The 17,793-nt window shown below is 43.3% G+C and overlaps 1 long non-coding RNA gene across 1 annotated transcript in view; it reads left to right on the forward strand.

Moving 5' to 3' along the window:
• The first annotated feature begins 984 nt into the window (after positions 1-984).
• LOC124907901 (uncharacterized) overlaps positions 985-17,793 on the forward strand; it is a 34,420-nt gene continuing 17,611 nt past the window's right edge. The window contains exons 1-2 of the long non-coding RNA XR_007087272.1: positions 985-2,212; positions 11,672-11,835. This is a non-coding gene — a long non-coding RNA (uncharacterized LOC124907901). The remainder of the gene's footprint in view (positions 2,213-11,671; positions 11,836-17,793) is intronic.

Raw genomic sequence — 17,793 nt, forward strand, 5'->3', positions numbered from 1 at the left:
TTTTGTACAATGTAAAAGTTAAGATTGATCTTATGTTTGGGAAACATTTGTTTCTACAAGAAAACTCTCTTGTTCGTATTGCATCACCATAAATTCATGAAGTTGGTAACTGTGCAATGGTTACATTTTTAGAAAATACATTCTGAAACATTTAGAGGTAGAGGATCCAGAACCTCAGATGGTTCAGATACAGTATGAGAGAGAAAGAGAGAGAGAGAGAGCGAGAGGAAACGCATGTGGGATAAAATATTGATAACAGGGAATCTGGTTAAGGGCATAGAAATGTTTTTCGTTTTTTTTTTTTTTGAAGACAGGGTCTCACTCTCATTGATAGGCTGGAATGCAGTGGCGGCTCACTGCAGCCTTGACCTGCCAGGCTCAAGCAATCCTCTCACCTCAGCCTCTGGAGTAGCTGCGAACACTGGTATGCACCACCACATCAGGTTAATTTTTATATTTTTTCATAGAAATGGGATCTTGCCATGCTGGCCAGGCTGGTCTTGAGCTCCTGGGCCCAAGTGATCCATCTGTCTAGGCTCCCAAAGTGCTGGGATTACCGTTGTGAGCCATTGCACCCAGAGGGCATAGAGATCTTTGTGCTATGTTTATTTTTGTAATATTTTTAAAATTTTGAAATCATGTTTACTATTTGGGTGACAGAATGGACTATTTGGGCTTCCAACAGAAGCCCAAACCTCAGCATCATGCAATATGTCCATGTAACAAACCTGCACATGTACCCCAAATCTAAAATTTATTTATTTATTTATTTATTTATTTAATTTATTTGTTTATTTTGAGATGGAATCTCGCTCTATTGCCCAGGCTGGAGTGCAGTGGCGTGAACACAGCTCACTGCAGACTTGAACTCCTGGACTCAAGTGATCCTCCCACCTCAGCATCCCAAAGTGCTGGGATTACAGGCATGAGCCACCGTGCCCAACCTAAATTTTTTTTTTAAGGAAAAAAATAAAATAAAACTTACCATCATTTCTAAATCAAGTGCTAAACATTAAAAAAGACTCTCTAGGCCAAAAACTAAGAATATACTGATGCTTCTCAAATGGTAACAAGGCACACTGGGAATAGTACTGGCCTACATCCGACATTATTTTTTTATAGTTATTTTAAATAGAAAATACACTTAGACGAGTGAAAACTCTGAACACTATGAAAAGGTAGGTACTGAGAACTGTCATTCCTTCCCATCCCCATCTACTCCGTTGCCTCTCACACTCTACAGGTAACCATATTTATTCATTTCTGATTTCTCTTTCCAGTGATTACTTATGCAAATACAAACAAATATGAATATATATTATTCCCCTCCCTCCTTTTTACACAAAAGGAGGCATGCCGTACACACCATTCTGTGCTTTGGTTTGGTCACCTAGCAGTATATGCTGTAGTCTCTTCAGCCTGACATCCTTTTAGGATGTCATCCCTGCCTGTAGAAAAGTGAACATGATTGCTGCTTCTATTTATTCACACAGAGAGTGTGCCCAAGCCTGATACCTGGCTCTGGATTAAATGAACTGTGCTTTGTATTTGCACTTCACAGCTGGCTAGAAAAGTCAACTCCTACAATTGTCAAAGGTCAAGTTCAGAATGTCTAGACACTTTCTTAAATATTCCGACTTGTTTTGAACTTCAAGGAAAAATGAAACTTCAAATATTTTTCTTGAAAGAACACAGAGAAGATGGGCTGGCCACAGAGTTTACTTACATTTTCATGATTCCTTTTTTAAATGCTTCACTCGGGGAATTTTCAGACAATCTTTGTTTTGTATTCCTGCCCTTTGTTATACATGGCTGCAACCCAGAACTGTCAGAGGAGATTAAGTTTATAAAAGAAGAGTTTCTACATTTTTGAAATATTTTGACTAAGTGAAATCATTTTTTTTTCTATCTGCAATGCAATTCAGCTCAGTTCGACAGATATTTACTGGGCCTTGTGCAAACCACTGAGCTTTAATAGATGAATGAGACATTGCTCCTGGCTTCAGGTGAACACAAATAATGTCTCTTTACTGTGGAAACTGCTATGGTACACAAGCAGGCACAGGCTGCTAGAGGAGGACAAAAGAAGAATGCTGAGCTCTGCCTCATTAGAGAAAATGAGCTAAGTCATGAAGACCAGTAAAAGCTGAGCAGAAAAAGAAGGGCAGGAGCAGCAGAAGCAAAGGTCATGAAGTTTCATGAACACGCAAAGGTAACTACTATAGGTGGGAAAGTAGCAAACTGTTTGAGCATCATTAGAGTCCACAGCAGGAGACACAGCTGCAAAAGGGAGAGCCTTGTATGGCCTGCCAGGGAGTTTGGACTTGAATCTAAGCAGTGGTTAAAGAAAGGACCTTGGTCAGGTTTCCTTTTAGAAGGCTTGTCTTGGCTTTGATATGGAGGATGAATACGGGAAGGGATAAATCTATAGGCGGAGAGCCATAGAGGCCAAAAGGAGGCGTATATTAGAAAGGTTTGGGCAGCAGACACTGCAGGGCTTGATGATTGCTGGTCTGTGAGTGGGAGGAGTCCAGGAGGATCCTTGGTCCTGACTCGTGTGACTCAGGGAATGATGGTGCCATTTATTTATTTATTTATTTATTTATTTATTATTTTATATCTTTATTTATTTATTTGAGATGGAGTCTTGCTCTGTCACCCAGGCTGGAGTGCAATGGTGCGATCTCGGCTCACTGCAATCTCTGCCTCCCAGGTTCAAGTGATTCTCCTGCCTCAGCCACCCGAGCAGCTGGGATTACAGGCGCGTGCCACCATGCCCAGCTAATTTTTGTATTTTTAGTAGAGGCGGGGTTTCACCATGTTGACCAGGCTGGTCTCGAACTCCTGACCTCTGGTGATCTGCCTGCCTCAGCCTCCCAATGTGCTGGGATTACAGGCATGAGCCACCACACCCGGCCGACGGTGCCATTAAATGAATCAGGGAAACACAGCAGAAGGAGGGAGAGGATGATGGGGTCTGTTTGAGTCCTGTTGAATGTGAGGGTAGCAGGCAGATGCAGCTATGAATCTGATGATCAGAGGCGAGTTCTGGTATGAAAAATACGTATTCAAGCATTATACTAGTTTCCTGAGGCTACTGTAACAAATTACCATAAATTTAGTAGCTTAAAACAACATAAATTTACTCTGTTATGATTCTGGAAGTTAGAAGTCTAAAATTAGTCTCACTAAGCTAAAGTCAAGGTGTCAGCAGGGCTGGTTCCTTCTGGAGGCTCTAGGAGAGAATCCTTTTCCTTCTCTGCTCCGAGAGACTGCCTGCATTCCTCAGTTTCTGGCCCTTAATCCATCTTCAAAGCCAGGAGTGCAGCGTCTTGCTTCTGTTGTCGCATAGCTTTCTTCTTCTGTAGTCATGCCTCCCTCTGCCTCCCTTCTATCAGGACACGTGTGATTACATTGCACAGATAATCCAGGATAATATTCCCATCTCAAGATCACAATTGCACATTTTGCTTGATAAGGTATTATTCACAGGTTCCAGAGATTAGGACCTGGACATCTTTGGAAGCATTATTCAACCTACTATGTGTTGATAGCATAAAGTTAGTGAGAGTAGATACAACCGATGAGGTGAATGTGTATGGAGAGAAAAGCATGAGATCAAGACCAGAACACTAGAAACACCAAAGTTAAGAGAGTGAGCATTGGACTAGGCATGGTGGCTCATGCCTGTTACCCCAGCACTTTGGGAGGCCGAGGTGGGTGGATCGCTTGAGCCCAGGAGTTTGAGACCAGCCTGGGCAACACAGTGATACCCTATCTTTACAAAGAAAATAAACAAAATTAGATGGGCATGGTGGCATGTGCCTATAGTCCCAGCTACTTGGAAGGCTGAGGTGGGAGGATCACTTGAACCCCAGTGGTTGAGGCTGCAGTGAGCCAAGATCGTGCCACTACCCTCCAGTCAGGGAAACAGAACAAGACCCTGTCTCAAAAACTAATAATAATTGACTGGGCGCGGTGGCTTACGCCTGTAATCCCAGCACTTTGGAGGCCAAGGTGAGTGGATCACTTGAGGTCAGAAGTTGAAGACCAGCCTAGCCAACATGGTGAAACCCGTCTCTACTAAAAATACAAAAAATTGGCTGGGTGCAGTGGCTCATGCCTGTAATCCCAGCACTTTGGGAGGCCGAGGCGGGCAGATCGCGTGGTCAGGAGATCAAGACCATCCTAGCTAACACGGTGAAACCCTGTCTCTTCTAAAAATAGAAAAAATTAGCTGGGCATGGTGGCGGGCGCCTGTAGTCCCAGCTACTCGGGAGGCTGAGGCAGAAGAATGGCATGAACCAGGGAGGCAGAGGTTGCAGTGAGCCAAGATTGTGCTACTGCACTCCTGCCTCGGTGACAGAGCAAGACTCCGTCTCAAAAAAATAAATAAATAAATAAATAAATAAAATAAAATAAATAAAAATAAAAATACAACAAATTAGCTGGGCCTGGTGGCGCATGCTTGTAATCCCAGCTACTCGGGAGGCTGAGTCAGGAGAATTGCTTGGACCTGGGAGGCGGAGGGTGCAGTGAGCTGAGATCGTGCCATTGTACTCCAGCCTAGGTGACAAGAGCAAAACACCATCTCAAATAATAATAATAATAATAATTTTTTAATGAGTGAGCATTGGAAGAAGGAACCCAAAGAAGATGGAGAAGGAAGGCTGACCAAGGAGAGCACCAGGAAAGAACTGGTGTCATGGAGGGGAAGAATGGAGAGTTACAGGGAACAGTGGCAGGTGACATTTAGTAAACCACTTAGAGGTCCCTGGGCGTCTTTTCCATGGCGGTGTCAGTGAAGTGCAAGGGGTAGAAATCAGATGGCAGCAAATAACAGTCATGGTAATGGGGACAGATAGACAACCTTTTCAACAAGCTGGCTAAGAAGAAAAGAAAAGAGGCATGATGGCAACTAGAAAGAAATGCGGACTCAACAAGGGAAGCGATTTTGTGTTGTTCTGCTTTGTTTCTAAGAAGACGTGAGTTTGGAGCATGTTGGTAGGCTGAAAAGAAAGAGCCCATGGATTGGGAGAGGCTAAAGATTTATGCGGGAAAGACTCACTGAGAGAACAAGTTTCCAAAAGCAGCTGATGGGTAGGAATTCAAAAGCGCAGATCAGTGAAATTTAAAATATGCCTATCCTTTGATGCAGTTTCTCAGAATTTGTCTTCCAAGAAAAAAAAATTTTTTAAACTTATACAAATGTTCACATAAGGAGGAAAAATTGTATAAAATTGTTCAAAGGCAAAGAGATAGATGTACGTACAGGAGTATTCAATGCAGTATCACCAGCAAAAGGGAAAATTTGAAACAATTCACATGTCTATCAGAAAAGATTAGTTAAGCTATGGATTACAGAATCACTTTAAAGTCTTGCGGTGGAAAGATCTCCCTCATAGTATATGATTTCCAGACATAATAAAAGTTGATAACAAAAGTATACAGCCTCTATAGACTCCACAAATAAGTCTGGAAAAAAAAACAGTTCTAGTCTACCTAATATATTTAAAAACTCCTTCAAATTCTTTTTTTTTTTTTTTTTGGAGACAGAGTCGCCCTCCATCCCCCAGGCTGGAGTGCAGTGGCATGATCTCGGCTCACTGCAACCTCTGCCTCCTAGGTTCAAGTGATTCTCCTGCCTCAGCCTCCCAAGTAGCTGGGATTACAGGCACCCACCACCACACCCAACTAATTTTTTGTATTTTTAGTAGAGATCGGGTTTCACCATGATGGCCAAGATGGTCTCAAACTCCTGACCTCAAGGGATCCACCAGCCTTGGCCTCCCAAAGTGCTGGAATTACAGGCGTGAGCCACCATGCCAGCCCAAATTCATTTTTTAAAATAACAGCCTAATAGAAAATATGGGCAAAAGCTAGAAACTGGCATTTCATAGATAACAAACTTGAACAGCAAATATATATATATATTTTTTTTAATAATCAATCTCATTAAGAATGAAAGCTATGTAAATGAGATCTTTCACTTTGTCAATAAGGTTAAGAAAAATTAGAAAGATTAATATGTGTTGTTGGTAAGGCTATAGAGAAAAAAACAGTCCAATGCTGATTGATGGAGCCTAAACATATACAACATTTGTAGAGAGCAATTTGGAAGTGTTTATCAAATTCATTTTATTTGTATAAAAATAAAAATATTTATGGGGTACAAGTGTAATTTTGTTACCTACAGAGATTGTGTAGTGGTGAAATCAGGGCTTTTAGGGTATCTATCACCCAGAGTCACAATATTAAATGTACCTTTTCAGTCAGCAATTCTACTTCTAAGAATCTGTCTATACATTCACAAGAAATTATGAACCAGTATTTATTTTACCTGTTCATACTTTTTTACATGCTGGAACAGTGAAAAATTGGACATGACCTGATTGTTCATTAAGAGAAGAACAGTTAAATACATTATATAGAAAGTATGTAATGGAATACTGGGCAGCTATTAAAAAGAAAGAATTAGATCTAGATGTAGTAAGTTACAAAGAAATGGATTTACCTGAGGTCAGGAGTTCCATACCAGCCTGACCAACATGGAGAAACCCCATCTCTACTAAAAATACAAAATTAGCCAGATGTGGTGGCGCATGCCTGTAATCCCAACCACTCAGGAGGCTGAGGCAAGAGAGTCGCTTGAACCCGGGAGGCAGAGGTTGCAGTTATCCGAGATTGCGCCATTGCACTCCAGTCTGGGCAACAAGCGCAAAACTCTGACTCCAAAAAAAAAAAAAAAAAATAGGCCAAGAGCGGTGGCTCAGGCCTGTAATCCCAGCACTTTGGGAGGCCGAGGCAGGCGATCACAAGGTCAGGAGATTGAGACCATCCTGGCTAACACAGTGAAACCCCGTCTCTACTGAAAATACAAAAAATTAGCTGGGCGTGGTGGCGGGCGCCTGTAGTCCCGGCTGCTGGGGAGGCTGAGGCAGGAGAATGGCGTGAACCCGGGTGGCGGAGCTTGCAGTGAGCTGAGATCGCGCCACTGCACTCCAGCCTGGGTGACAGAGCAAGACTCCGTCTCGAAAAAAAAAAAAAAAAAAAAAAAGGATTTATAATATTTAAGTAAACAAGAAAAGAAATAGCTACATTCCAGGTATAGCATGATCCCATTTCCAGGAACAAAAACCATTTCTATGTACTAGACAAGGATTTAATAACACACATATCAACATGGATGACTCTCCAATGGATTATGCTAGGGGAAAAAAGCCACGGCTCCATGGTGGCTCAGGCCTGTAATCCCAGCACTTTGGGAGGCTGAGATGAGTGGATAACTTGAGGTCAGGAGTTCAAGACCAGCCTGGCCAACATGGTGAAACCCCGTCTCTACTAAAAACACAAAAATTAGCCGAGTGTTGGTGGCACACACCTGTAATCCCAGCTACTCAGGAGGCTGAGGCAGGAGAATCTCTTGAACCTGGGAGATGGAGGTTGCAGTGAGCCGAGATCGTGCCCCTGCACTCCAGCCTGGGCGACAGAGTGAGACTCGGCTGAAAAGGCTGCACATTGTATGATTCCATTCATATGGCCCTCTAGAAAAAGCGAAACTATAGGAACAGAAAATAGATCAATGGTTGCCAGGGCTGGGAATCAGGGAGCAGGTGACTATAAAGGGACACAAAAAAAGTTTCTTGTTGTTATGGAAATGTTCCGTAACTCAACTGTGGTTTTGGTTGCACAACTATATGTATTTTTACAAATTCGTAGAACCGTACACTACAAATGGTGAATTTTACTGTATGTGAATTACACGTCAATTAACCAGACTTTAAAAAATGTTTGTAGAGATTCCCAGTAAGCTGTTAGTAATAGTTACCCCTTGGAGAATGGGAGTGGGAGTATAAGAAAAAAAGCAGCTTTCATATTTTACACTTCTATATAATATGTATTACTTTTAGTAAGTATATACTGCTTTTTGGCAATTTTTAAAAAGGTTTTAATAAGTGTGACATACTCAATGCATGCAACACTAAATAGCCCTAGAAGACAGTAGATTTACATGTACTGATACATAAAGGCATTCACAATCACTGTTAAGTAGAAAAAGACAACTTGTACAAAAATATACAATCACTGTTATGGAAAAATACAATAAAATTATGTGTACACATATATACTTAGTTGTGTGTGTGTGTGTGTGTGGCATGTGTGTGTGTGTGTGTGTGTGTGGGTAGCCCTGGAGGATGGCTACCAAATATTTAGCAGTAATTTTACAGTATTTACTTTTGGGCAGTGATACCATTGTGGGTTTGTGGAGGAGTGACTTATTTTTAATTTTGGCTTTAGGGTTCTGAGGCTATATCATTTTCATAATCATAAAAAACAATATATTTTTAAAATAGCATAACTGAAGAAATTGATTTGACCAAAAGCAGGACTATCCCATCCTCTGAGAGTGAGGCAAGATCTGTACAGATATAGAAAAGTTAGTAGGTTGGACAGCAGATAGAAGATTCTGTACTTTTGGCCTCAATTTTCTCAACAAAATTAGTCATCTGGTGAGAGTGTAGGGGAATGGGTGTTGGGGGAGTAGGGACTTTCAGGAAGCTGCAAAGGTCTGAAAGTGTTTGTAAGAGGAAAGACAGAGAAAGGCTTTTGAGGCTAAGTGAGAAACCCTGCCTAAGGTCAAGGTTAGAAATGCCCTAGAGGGGCTGGCACAGTGGCTCACGCCTGTAACCCCAGTGCTTTGGGAGGCCAAGGTGGGCGAATCACAGGGTCAAGGGTTCGAGACCAGCCTGGCCAACATGGTGAAACACTGTCTCTACAAAAAATACAAAAAATTAGCCAGGCGTGGTGGTGGGCACCTTTAATCCCAGCTACTCGGGAGGCTGAGGCAGGAGAATCGCTTGAACCGGGAGGCGGAGGTTGCAGTGAGCCAAGACCACACCACAGGACTCCAGCCTGGGCAACACAGCAAGTCTCCATCTCAAAAAAAAAAAAAAGAAAGAAAGAAATGTCCTCAGAGGCCAATGTGTGAGGCGGCCAGGAGGGGTTTCCAGCAAACTGAAGAGGGCAGGATTAATCAAGGTGGGCCCTAGTGCCTCCACCACAGCCCAGTGTCACCATGATCCAAGAGAAGGCAGAAATACAGCTTTGTAGATGAAATTATCCAATTGAAAACATTGTGCACTCCAGCCTGGGCGAGAGCTAGACTCCGTCTCAAAAAAAAAAGAAAAGAAAAGAAAAGATTGATAATTAGTTAAACGTTGTTTCAAACACTATCCAGGCCAAACCAAACTTGGGAGCCCATGGCTGCAAGTAGGGGTGGGAAGGAAAGTGTAGTATGCATGCTTTTTTAATAGAACCCTAGGTCTTTTTTATTCCCCTATTTTTTTTTACAGTCCAACACCTTTTAACCCACTGATGCTTATTTGGGGCAGAGGGTGAGATACAGTTCAGAACAACAAAAAAAGTCATTGAGGTCAGGTACGGTGGCTCGCGCCTGTAATCTTAGCACTTTCGGAGGCTGAGGTGAGAGGATCACTTTAGCCCAGAAGTTCAAGACCAGCCTGGGCAACATAGTGAGACCCTGTCTCTATTATTTTATTTTATTTATTTATTTATTTATTTAGAGATGGAATCTTGCTGTGTTGCCCAGGCTGGAGTGCAGTGGTGCAGTCTTGGCTCTCTGCTACATCCACCTCCTGTTCAATCAATTCTCCTACCTGAACCTCCCAAGTAGCTGGGATTACAGGTGCACACCACCACGCCCAGCTAATTTTTGTATTTTTAATAGAGACGGGGGTCTCACCATGCTGGTCAGGCTGGTCTCAAACTCCTGACCTTAAGTGATCCACCCACCTCGGCCTCCCAAAGTGCTGGGATTACAGGTGTGAGCCACCGCACCCAGCCTATTATTTTAAAAAAGAATTTTATATAATATAAAAAAGAAGAAGAAAAGAGTCATTGATCAATTATGATGTTCAAAATAGACCTTTCTTAAAAGAACATAGCAGAAACATTAGGTTTGAATTCAAGCTTTCAATGGCAAGAATCAGGTTTGCTTATTCATTTGTTTGTTTTTTTGTTGTGAGATGGAGTTTCACTCTTGCTGCCCAGGATGGAGTGCAATGGCGAGATCTCGGCTCACTGCAATCTCCGCCTCCCAGGTTCAAGTGGTCCTTCTGCCTCAGCCTCCCGAGTAGCTGGGATTACAGGCATGCCCCATCACACTCAGCTAATTTTGTATTTTTAGTAGAGGCGGAGTTTCTCCATATTGGTCCGGCGGGTCTCCAACTCCCGACCTCAGGTGATCCATGGGCCTCGGCCTCCCAAAGTGCTGGGATTATAGGCGTGAACCCGGCCAAGAGTCAAGTTTTTAAGAGAAAAAAGAGTTTCCTGCATTCTAAAAATTTCTTCTTAAATATCTAGAACAGGAACCTGGCTCTTTAAGAGCCCTTAGGAGAACAAGTTCTGCAAAATATAGACCCAATTTTCCATCAAGGGAAGAATTTGACCAGTTGGGTGGAAGGGGCACTCAGAGAGGAGGAAGGGGTGTTACACAGGAGAGTGAGGCTGGGCTCAGTGGCTCACACCTGTAATCTCAGCACTTCAGGAGGTGGAGGAAGGAGGACCATCACTTGAGGCCAGGTGTCCAAGACCAGCCTGGAGAACACAGTGAGAACCTGTCTCTACAAAAAAATTTTAAAAGATAGGAGAATGACTCCTAAATCCCTTAGCTAGGTCTGAAGGCATGCAGGGAGGGGAGGGGCTTATGATCTGCTTCCCTCTTGAATCCCTGGGAGGAAGCCATCTCCTCCACACTCCTTGCCAGCCATGGGCAGCTGCACTAGAGTAGCAATCTGAGCAGGACAGGTCTAGACAGAGAGAGGGCCCGAGCTAGCCTCTCCTTTCATAAGCCTCTCTGTCTCAAGAGGCCGAGAGGGTACTGAATTTCAGGCCTTGGAGGAGGTGGAGAAGAGGAGGTGAGAGGGCTAGCCTGCAAGCCAAGGGTCACCGTGGTGAGGGATGAGAGGACCTTGTGGCTGAGGGCTTTAGGGTGGACTGTCTGGTTGGTGGCAAACTTAGGGAAGTGTGTGTGTGGCAGGTGCAAGCTGAGGTGGGCTGCAATCCTACCACATTTGGAACAAGCAATAGAAACAAGCATTTCAGGTGATTCTGAGGCATGCTAAGATAGGGCATGACCGAACTTGGTTTGCCTGGCTGTGCTGTGGGAAACAAGTGTGCAGCAGGGATGTGGATATTTGTAAAATAATGCTTCCAATTACCCAGTGAACAGACTAAACCCACACTTGGGGTACCAACGAGGGGGAACTCAAAATTGAAAAAAAAAAATTAAGAACACAGTATTCTCCCCACTCCTCCCTACCCTGCCTCTGAAGAACACTAAACTAGTCACCTTGAGAACCAAATAAGAAATTGGACTTATACTTTTGGAATTACCTCTAGAGACAAGGGGTCCAAAATTTTTCAGCACCTAGGGCATCTAGTCTAGCCCTGATTTTTTTTGAGTTTTTAGAGACAGGGTCTCACTCTGTTGCCCAGGCTGGAGTGCAATGGCATGATCATAGTTTACTGCAACTTCCAACTCTTGGGCTCAAACAGTCCTCCCACTTCAGCCTTCTTGTGTAGCTAGGACTACAGGTGCACGCCACCATGACTAGCTAATTTATTATTTATTTATTTATTTTTTTGGCAGAGATGGGGTGTCCCTATGTTGTCCGAGCTGATCTTGAGGTCCTGGCTCCTGGCCTCAAGAGATCCTCCTGCCTCAGCCTCCCAAAGTGTCTGGATTACAGGTGTGAGCCACCAGGTAATCCACCTGTGGATTACAGGTGAGCACCCAGCCTTCCTGATTTTCAAGTGAGTAACTATATACTCTCATCTGGATGAGGTACTCTTATCAGGGATGGGAAATAAAAGGAGGGGTCAACCGGTTACAGTAGGTAGCTAGTCAGGTATGAGCAGGGCAGGAGAGAGCCCCCCGACACACACACCAGGAGTGTTGGGTGACCATCAGGTGATGGTCAGGCTCTTGTTAACTCTCTCGCTAAAGTAATAATTGGTCACACCGGGCACCAGGGAAAGGCCGTCTCCTAATAGATAGAAAATACCTGAAACTGGTGATCAGCAGCTTCCCAATAAGATCTCAGGAGTTGGGCGAGTGGTGAGAAGTAACACAAGACACTGGAAGTATGCCAACATATAAAACCCCAAGTCAAAATGTCAAGCTGTCTTGGTGCTGACAAAATGTCAATGCCCTAGGTGCTGAAAAAATTTTGGACCCCTTGTCTCTAGAGGTAATTCCAAAAGTATAAGTCCAACTTCTTATTTGGACTTCTCTAAATGTCAACCTTCTCTAAATCGTTTTAATGAACTTTCACTCCTGCTCTGAAACTTGCTTTGGTCTCTCCCTCTACCTTATGCCCCTCAGTCCCATTCTTTCTTCTGAGGAGGCAAGAATTGAGGTTGCTGTAGCCCCGTATGGATATGGATACATTCTGCCAGTAACAAAGTATTGGAGGTCTCCATGGGCTCCAAGAGCCCTCAGGGCCACTGGGAGGATGTAAAACAGGGTGTGGCCAGAGCCTCTCTGAGGACAGGCTCTGGGCTATGGCCATGGAGGTGGGTAGCTATGTGGAGCAAGAAAAGGGGACAAAGTTGTTGAAAAGGTCATCAAGGATGAAGCAAGTCATAGGATGGAAAATAGAACCATGAGCCGGGTGCCAAAGTCTTCAGTGAAAGCCAGAGAACTTTCCAGTGCTGAACAGATACTGGATGTGTTCAGTTTACTGAGCCTAACCTTGGACCTTCTACTATTGGACCTTCATCCAATGTAGCCCATAGTCATGTTACATGAAGTAGTAAGTTTATATGAGGGACTAACATAACACTTCCTAACTTGATAAAACTCTGTAAAGTGTGCTAAGGCATGACACATTAGTTATTTTCCTCACATTGGTCAGATTTTAGCAAAATTGGGATTCACATGTGTGATATTAACTCTGTGCTCTACTGTTTCCTGTTAAACACACATATAAATTTCTCCTTTCCCATTTTCCAGCTAACAAAAGGCAACAAGTTATCTTTAGAAAAAAAAATTTTTTTGTTATACTTTAAGTTCTGGGATATATGTGGAGAACATGCAGTTTTGTTACATAGGTATACACGTGCCATGGAGGTTTGCTGCACCCATCAACCCGTCACCCATATTAGGTATTTATCCTAATGCTATCCCTCCCCTAGCCCCCCACCCCCCAACAGGCCCCAATGTGTGATGTTCACCTCCCTGTGTCCATGTGTTCTCATTGTTCAACTCCCACTTATGAGTGGGAACATGTGGTGTTTGGTTTTCTGTTCCTGTGTTAGTTTGCTGGGAATGATGGTTTCCAGCTTCATCCATGTCCCTGCAAAGGACATGAACTCATCTTTTTTATGGCTGCATAGTATTCCATGGTATATATGTGCCACATTTTCTTTATCCAGTCTATCATTGATGGACATTTAGGTTGGTTCCAAGATTTTGCTATTGTGAATAGCCCACAATAAACATATGTGTGCATGTGTCTTTATAATAGAATGATTTATAATCCTTTGGGTATATACCCAGTAATGGGATTGCTGGGTCAAATGGTATTTCTAGTTCTAGGTCCTTGAGGAATCACCACACTGTCTTCCACAGTGGTTGATCTAATTTACACTCCCACCAACAGTGTAAAAGCGTTCCTATTTCTCCACATCCTCTCCAGCACCTGTTGTTTCCTGACTTTTTAATGATCACCATTCTAACTGGCATGAGATCATATCTCATTGTGGTTTTGATTTGCATTTCTCTAATGACCACTGATGATGAGCTTTTTTTTCATGTTTGTTGACTGCATAAATGTCTTCTTTTGAGAAGTGTCTGTTCATATCCTTCACCCACTTTTTGATGGGGTTGATTTTTTATTTCTTGTAAATTTATTTAAGTTCTGTTTTTTTTTTTTTTGAGACAGAGTCTTGCTGTGTCACCCAGATTGGAGCACAGTGGAGCAATCTTGGCTCACTGCAACCTCCACCTGCCCGGTTCACACCATTCTCCTGCCTCAGCCTCCCAATTAGCTGGGACTACAGGCGCCCACCACCAATCCTGGCTAATTTTTTTGTATTTTTAGTAGAGACAGGATTTCACCATGTTAGCCAGGATGGTCTGGATCTCCTGACCTCGTGATCCACCTGCCTTGGCCTCCCAAAGTGCTGGGATTACAGGCGTGAGCCACCGTGCCTGGCCACTGTTTAAGTTCTTTGTAGATTCTGGATATTAGCCCTTGTCAGATGGCTAGATTGCAAAAATTTTCTCCCATTCTGTAGGTTGCCTGTTCACTCTGATGATAGTTTCTTTTGCTGTGCAGAAGCTCTTTATTTTAATTAGATCCCATTTGTCGATTTTGGCTTTTGTTGTCATTGCTTTTGGTGTTTTAGACATGAAGTTGAAGGGGCCATTCACGGTGGTTCACACCTGTAATCCCAGCAGTTTGGGACGTCAAGATGGGTGGATCACCTGAAGTCAGAAGTTCAAGACCAGCCTGGCTGATGTGGTGAAACCCCTTCCCTACTAAAAATATTAAAAAATTAGTCAGGTATGGTGGCAAATGCTTATAGTCCCAGCTACTCGGGAAGCTGAGGCAGGAGAATCACTTGAACCCAGGAGGTGGAGGTTGCAGTGAGCCGAGATCACACCACTGCACTCCAGCCTGGGTGACAGAGAGAGACTCCGTCTCAAAAAAAAAAAAAAAAAAGTTGAAAGTAGGCACAAGCTGCCAGGGGAGCCAATTCTGTGCATTTTTTATTTGACATTGCAGTAAAAGCTTGCAGAGAAAGCTTTCTACTCAACATCAGTGTCTTTTTTCTTTTAAGTCTCCAGAGAAAATGACTAACCAGGAAAGATTTTTTTTAAACTTGTTTTCATTTTCCCTGGGCCAAACTAAGTATTCCTGAGAGAAAACAAACCTTCCCAAGGAATCCAGACTTGGCTCATGATATCTAATACTGAGTGAATTAACATTTTTTTCCTACCAAGGGGAGTAGAAAACAGCCTATAAGAGAATTCATGTTGGTTCCTAGTTAATCTTTAGCTTTACAGTGAGTTAAGCTGTCTTTTCTCCTTAATGATTTAAGTATCCCATACTAAGCTTTCCTGTCAAATAAACTAAAAGTCTGGTTTTATTCTGTTTGGAAGTTTGTAACTAAATATTTATCTATGGTCTGAAGAAAGAGGGAAAAGTCAAGTCGGTTGTGATAGAAAGTGTTTCCACACCCATCAGCAGAAAGTGTTGAAAATGGTGCTATAGTTATTGCTCTAGTAAATGCTCAAGTCTGCCAATGAAGGAGGATTTATTTGTTTTTCCAACAATGCCCACTTAATTTTCTCTAATTTTTCTTCTACTTTGCTAATCAAGGCTTCAGCATGATCAGAGACTGCATTGGATCTAATCTAGAAATCTGTGGGGTGAGGGAAGCCCTTGAAAGCAAGCAGTGGCGGTCCTTGATAGAATGGAGTGAGTCCTCAATTATCTATGTAGCTAGAAAGGGAAAGGTTAGTGAAGAAAACCGCAGATAATATAGAAATCCTTTTTATTTCTTTTGGCTTCTCATACACACACACACACACACACACACACACACACACACACACACGTTTATATCACACAGCAATGTGCCATGGTTGCAGGTTGTTTACCGGGTCCGGAGGAGGATTTTGCCAGGACTGCTTTCCTTTCTCCTTGGAATCTTCAGAGAGGGGAGAGAGGGTTGTGTTGGGATTTGGGGGTTCTTCGGGTGAACTTGAGAGAACTGCTAAGTTCTCTTGAGTAGAAAGGTTTATATTACACTTTAAACCAGGTAAATTATTTTCCTATTGTTGCTGTAACCAATTGCCACAAATATAATGGCTTTTAAAAACACACATATTGGATATCTTACAGTTCTGGAGATCAGATGCCCAAAATGGGTCTTGCAGGCTAAAATCAAGGTGTTGGCAGGTCTGTGTTCCTTTCTGGAGGCTCTAGAAGAGGATCTATCTTCCTGCCTTTTCCAGCTTCTAGTGCCACATGCATGCCCCATTTTCTTTTCTTTCTTTCTTTTTTTTTTTTTTTTTTTTTTTTGAGACAGAGTCTTGCTCTGTCTCCCAGGCTGGAGTGCAGTGGTGCAATCTTGGCTCACTGCAACCTCCACCTCCCAAGTTCAAGCAATTCTCCCACCTCATCCTCCTGAGTAGCTGGGATTACAGGTGCACATCCCCATGCCCAGCTAATTTTTGTATTTTTAGTAGAGATGGGGTTTCACCATGTTGGCCAGGCTGGTCTCAAGCTCCTGACCTCAGGTGATCTGCCCGCCTCAGCCTCCCAAAGTGCAGGGATGACAGGCGTGAGCTGCCGCCCTGGCCTCATGCCCCCATTTCCAACAAGCATCACTCCAACTCCTGCTTCTGTTATCATGTGTCCTTCTTCTGACTTTGATCCCCTTGTCCCTCTTCAAAGGACACCCGTGAATAAAGCAGGCCTACTGGACAATCTGTATAATCTTGCCATGTCAACATCTTAATTTAATCATGTTAGCAAAGTCTCTTTTGCCATGGAAGGTAACATAGTCACAGATTTCAGGGCTAAGAACGTAGACATTGTTCAGGCTACCACACCAAGACCAGCCAGGTTTTCTCAAACCTGGGGCTGATCCTGGTCTTCAGTCACCAGAGCAAGTTTAACCTGGGCTAGGGCTTTTAGGGGTTCAGGCTACCGCAGCACACCATAGCACCTTCTGCTAGGTCCTTCACCCACTTCATGGCCTGCTTCTGGCTCTAATGCATCCAAGCAGCTGGAATGTAATTAAGCAGCTGTGGGAAAGAGCTCTCAAGTCACTGCAAAATACTTGTAGCCTCAGCGTAATAGATATGGTGAATAAGCATAAAGGGCAACATAATGAAAATGTATTTCTATTTTTGTCTCCCACTGTCTTTTTTTTTATTATTATTATTTTTCTCAGATATTTACTCTGAGAACCTGGTTGACCTCCAGCAGGTAAAATTCACAAAAGTAACTGGGTCCCTCTGGAGTTTTCTTCTCAGACTTGTTCACACTGAGCCTCCAGCAGGTCATCAATTACAGTTCTGGTTTCCCTGCCTGGCATAGGTTCCACTGTCTTTTTAAAACTTGTTCAGGGAAGGGGTGATCCTGCCCCTGCCTCCATGAGTGTAGGCCTCAACTGGGAGCACTGTTAATATTTCAAGCAGGAGAGTTCTTGGGTTACTGGGATATCGAGCATCTCAGGCCCTTGTCCTCTAAATGCCAAGAGTATCCTCCCTGCCAATCATTGTGTCAATCAAAACACACTCCAACATATTTCTGAATGATCTCTAGGGAGGTGGTACTGCCAGAAAACCTGGGCAGCCCCATGACTTCGTTCATTCTCAGGTCCTCAGGGAGTAATTGTTTCATGGTCCCAGCAGGTCTTTACTCAGCCATTAGAATACCTGATCCAGTGTGAAACCCAAAACTCCCAGGGGTTTAGGGCTGCTGTTGGGGAATATCCGCAGGAGGGAAGGGAACTTTCAAAGTTAGCCCACTCCCTCATCCCTGCTTACTCACCTGAGTGGGCAAAACTGGGGAAACGGAATCAGAGAAGTTTCTGAGTTTCTTATTGATGGCTTGATCACAAACCACTTTTTCTTTTGTGGAAAGTTTTGTGGGTTTTTAGAGTCCCATCACTGAGAATGCATCCACCCTCAAGGCCATGCCTGCTTGACCCCTGGTTCCGTGGTACCCCACCCCATCCCACACACAGGCC

The sequence above is a fragment of the Homo sapiens genome, chromosome 2 (genome assembly GCF_000001405.40).
Source record: "Homo sapiens chromosome 2, GRCh38.p14 Primary Assembly".
Classification (NCBI taxonomy): Eukaryota; Metazoa; Chordata; class Mammalia; order Primates; family Hominidae; genus Homo; species Homo sapiens.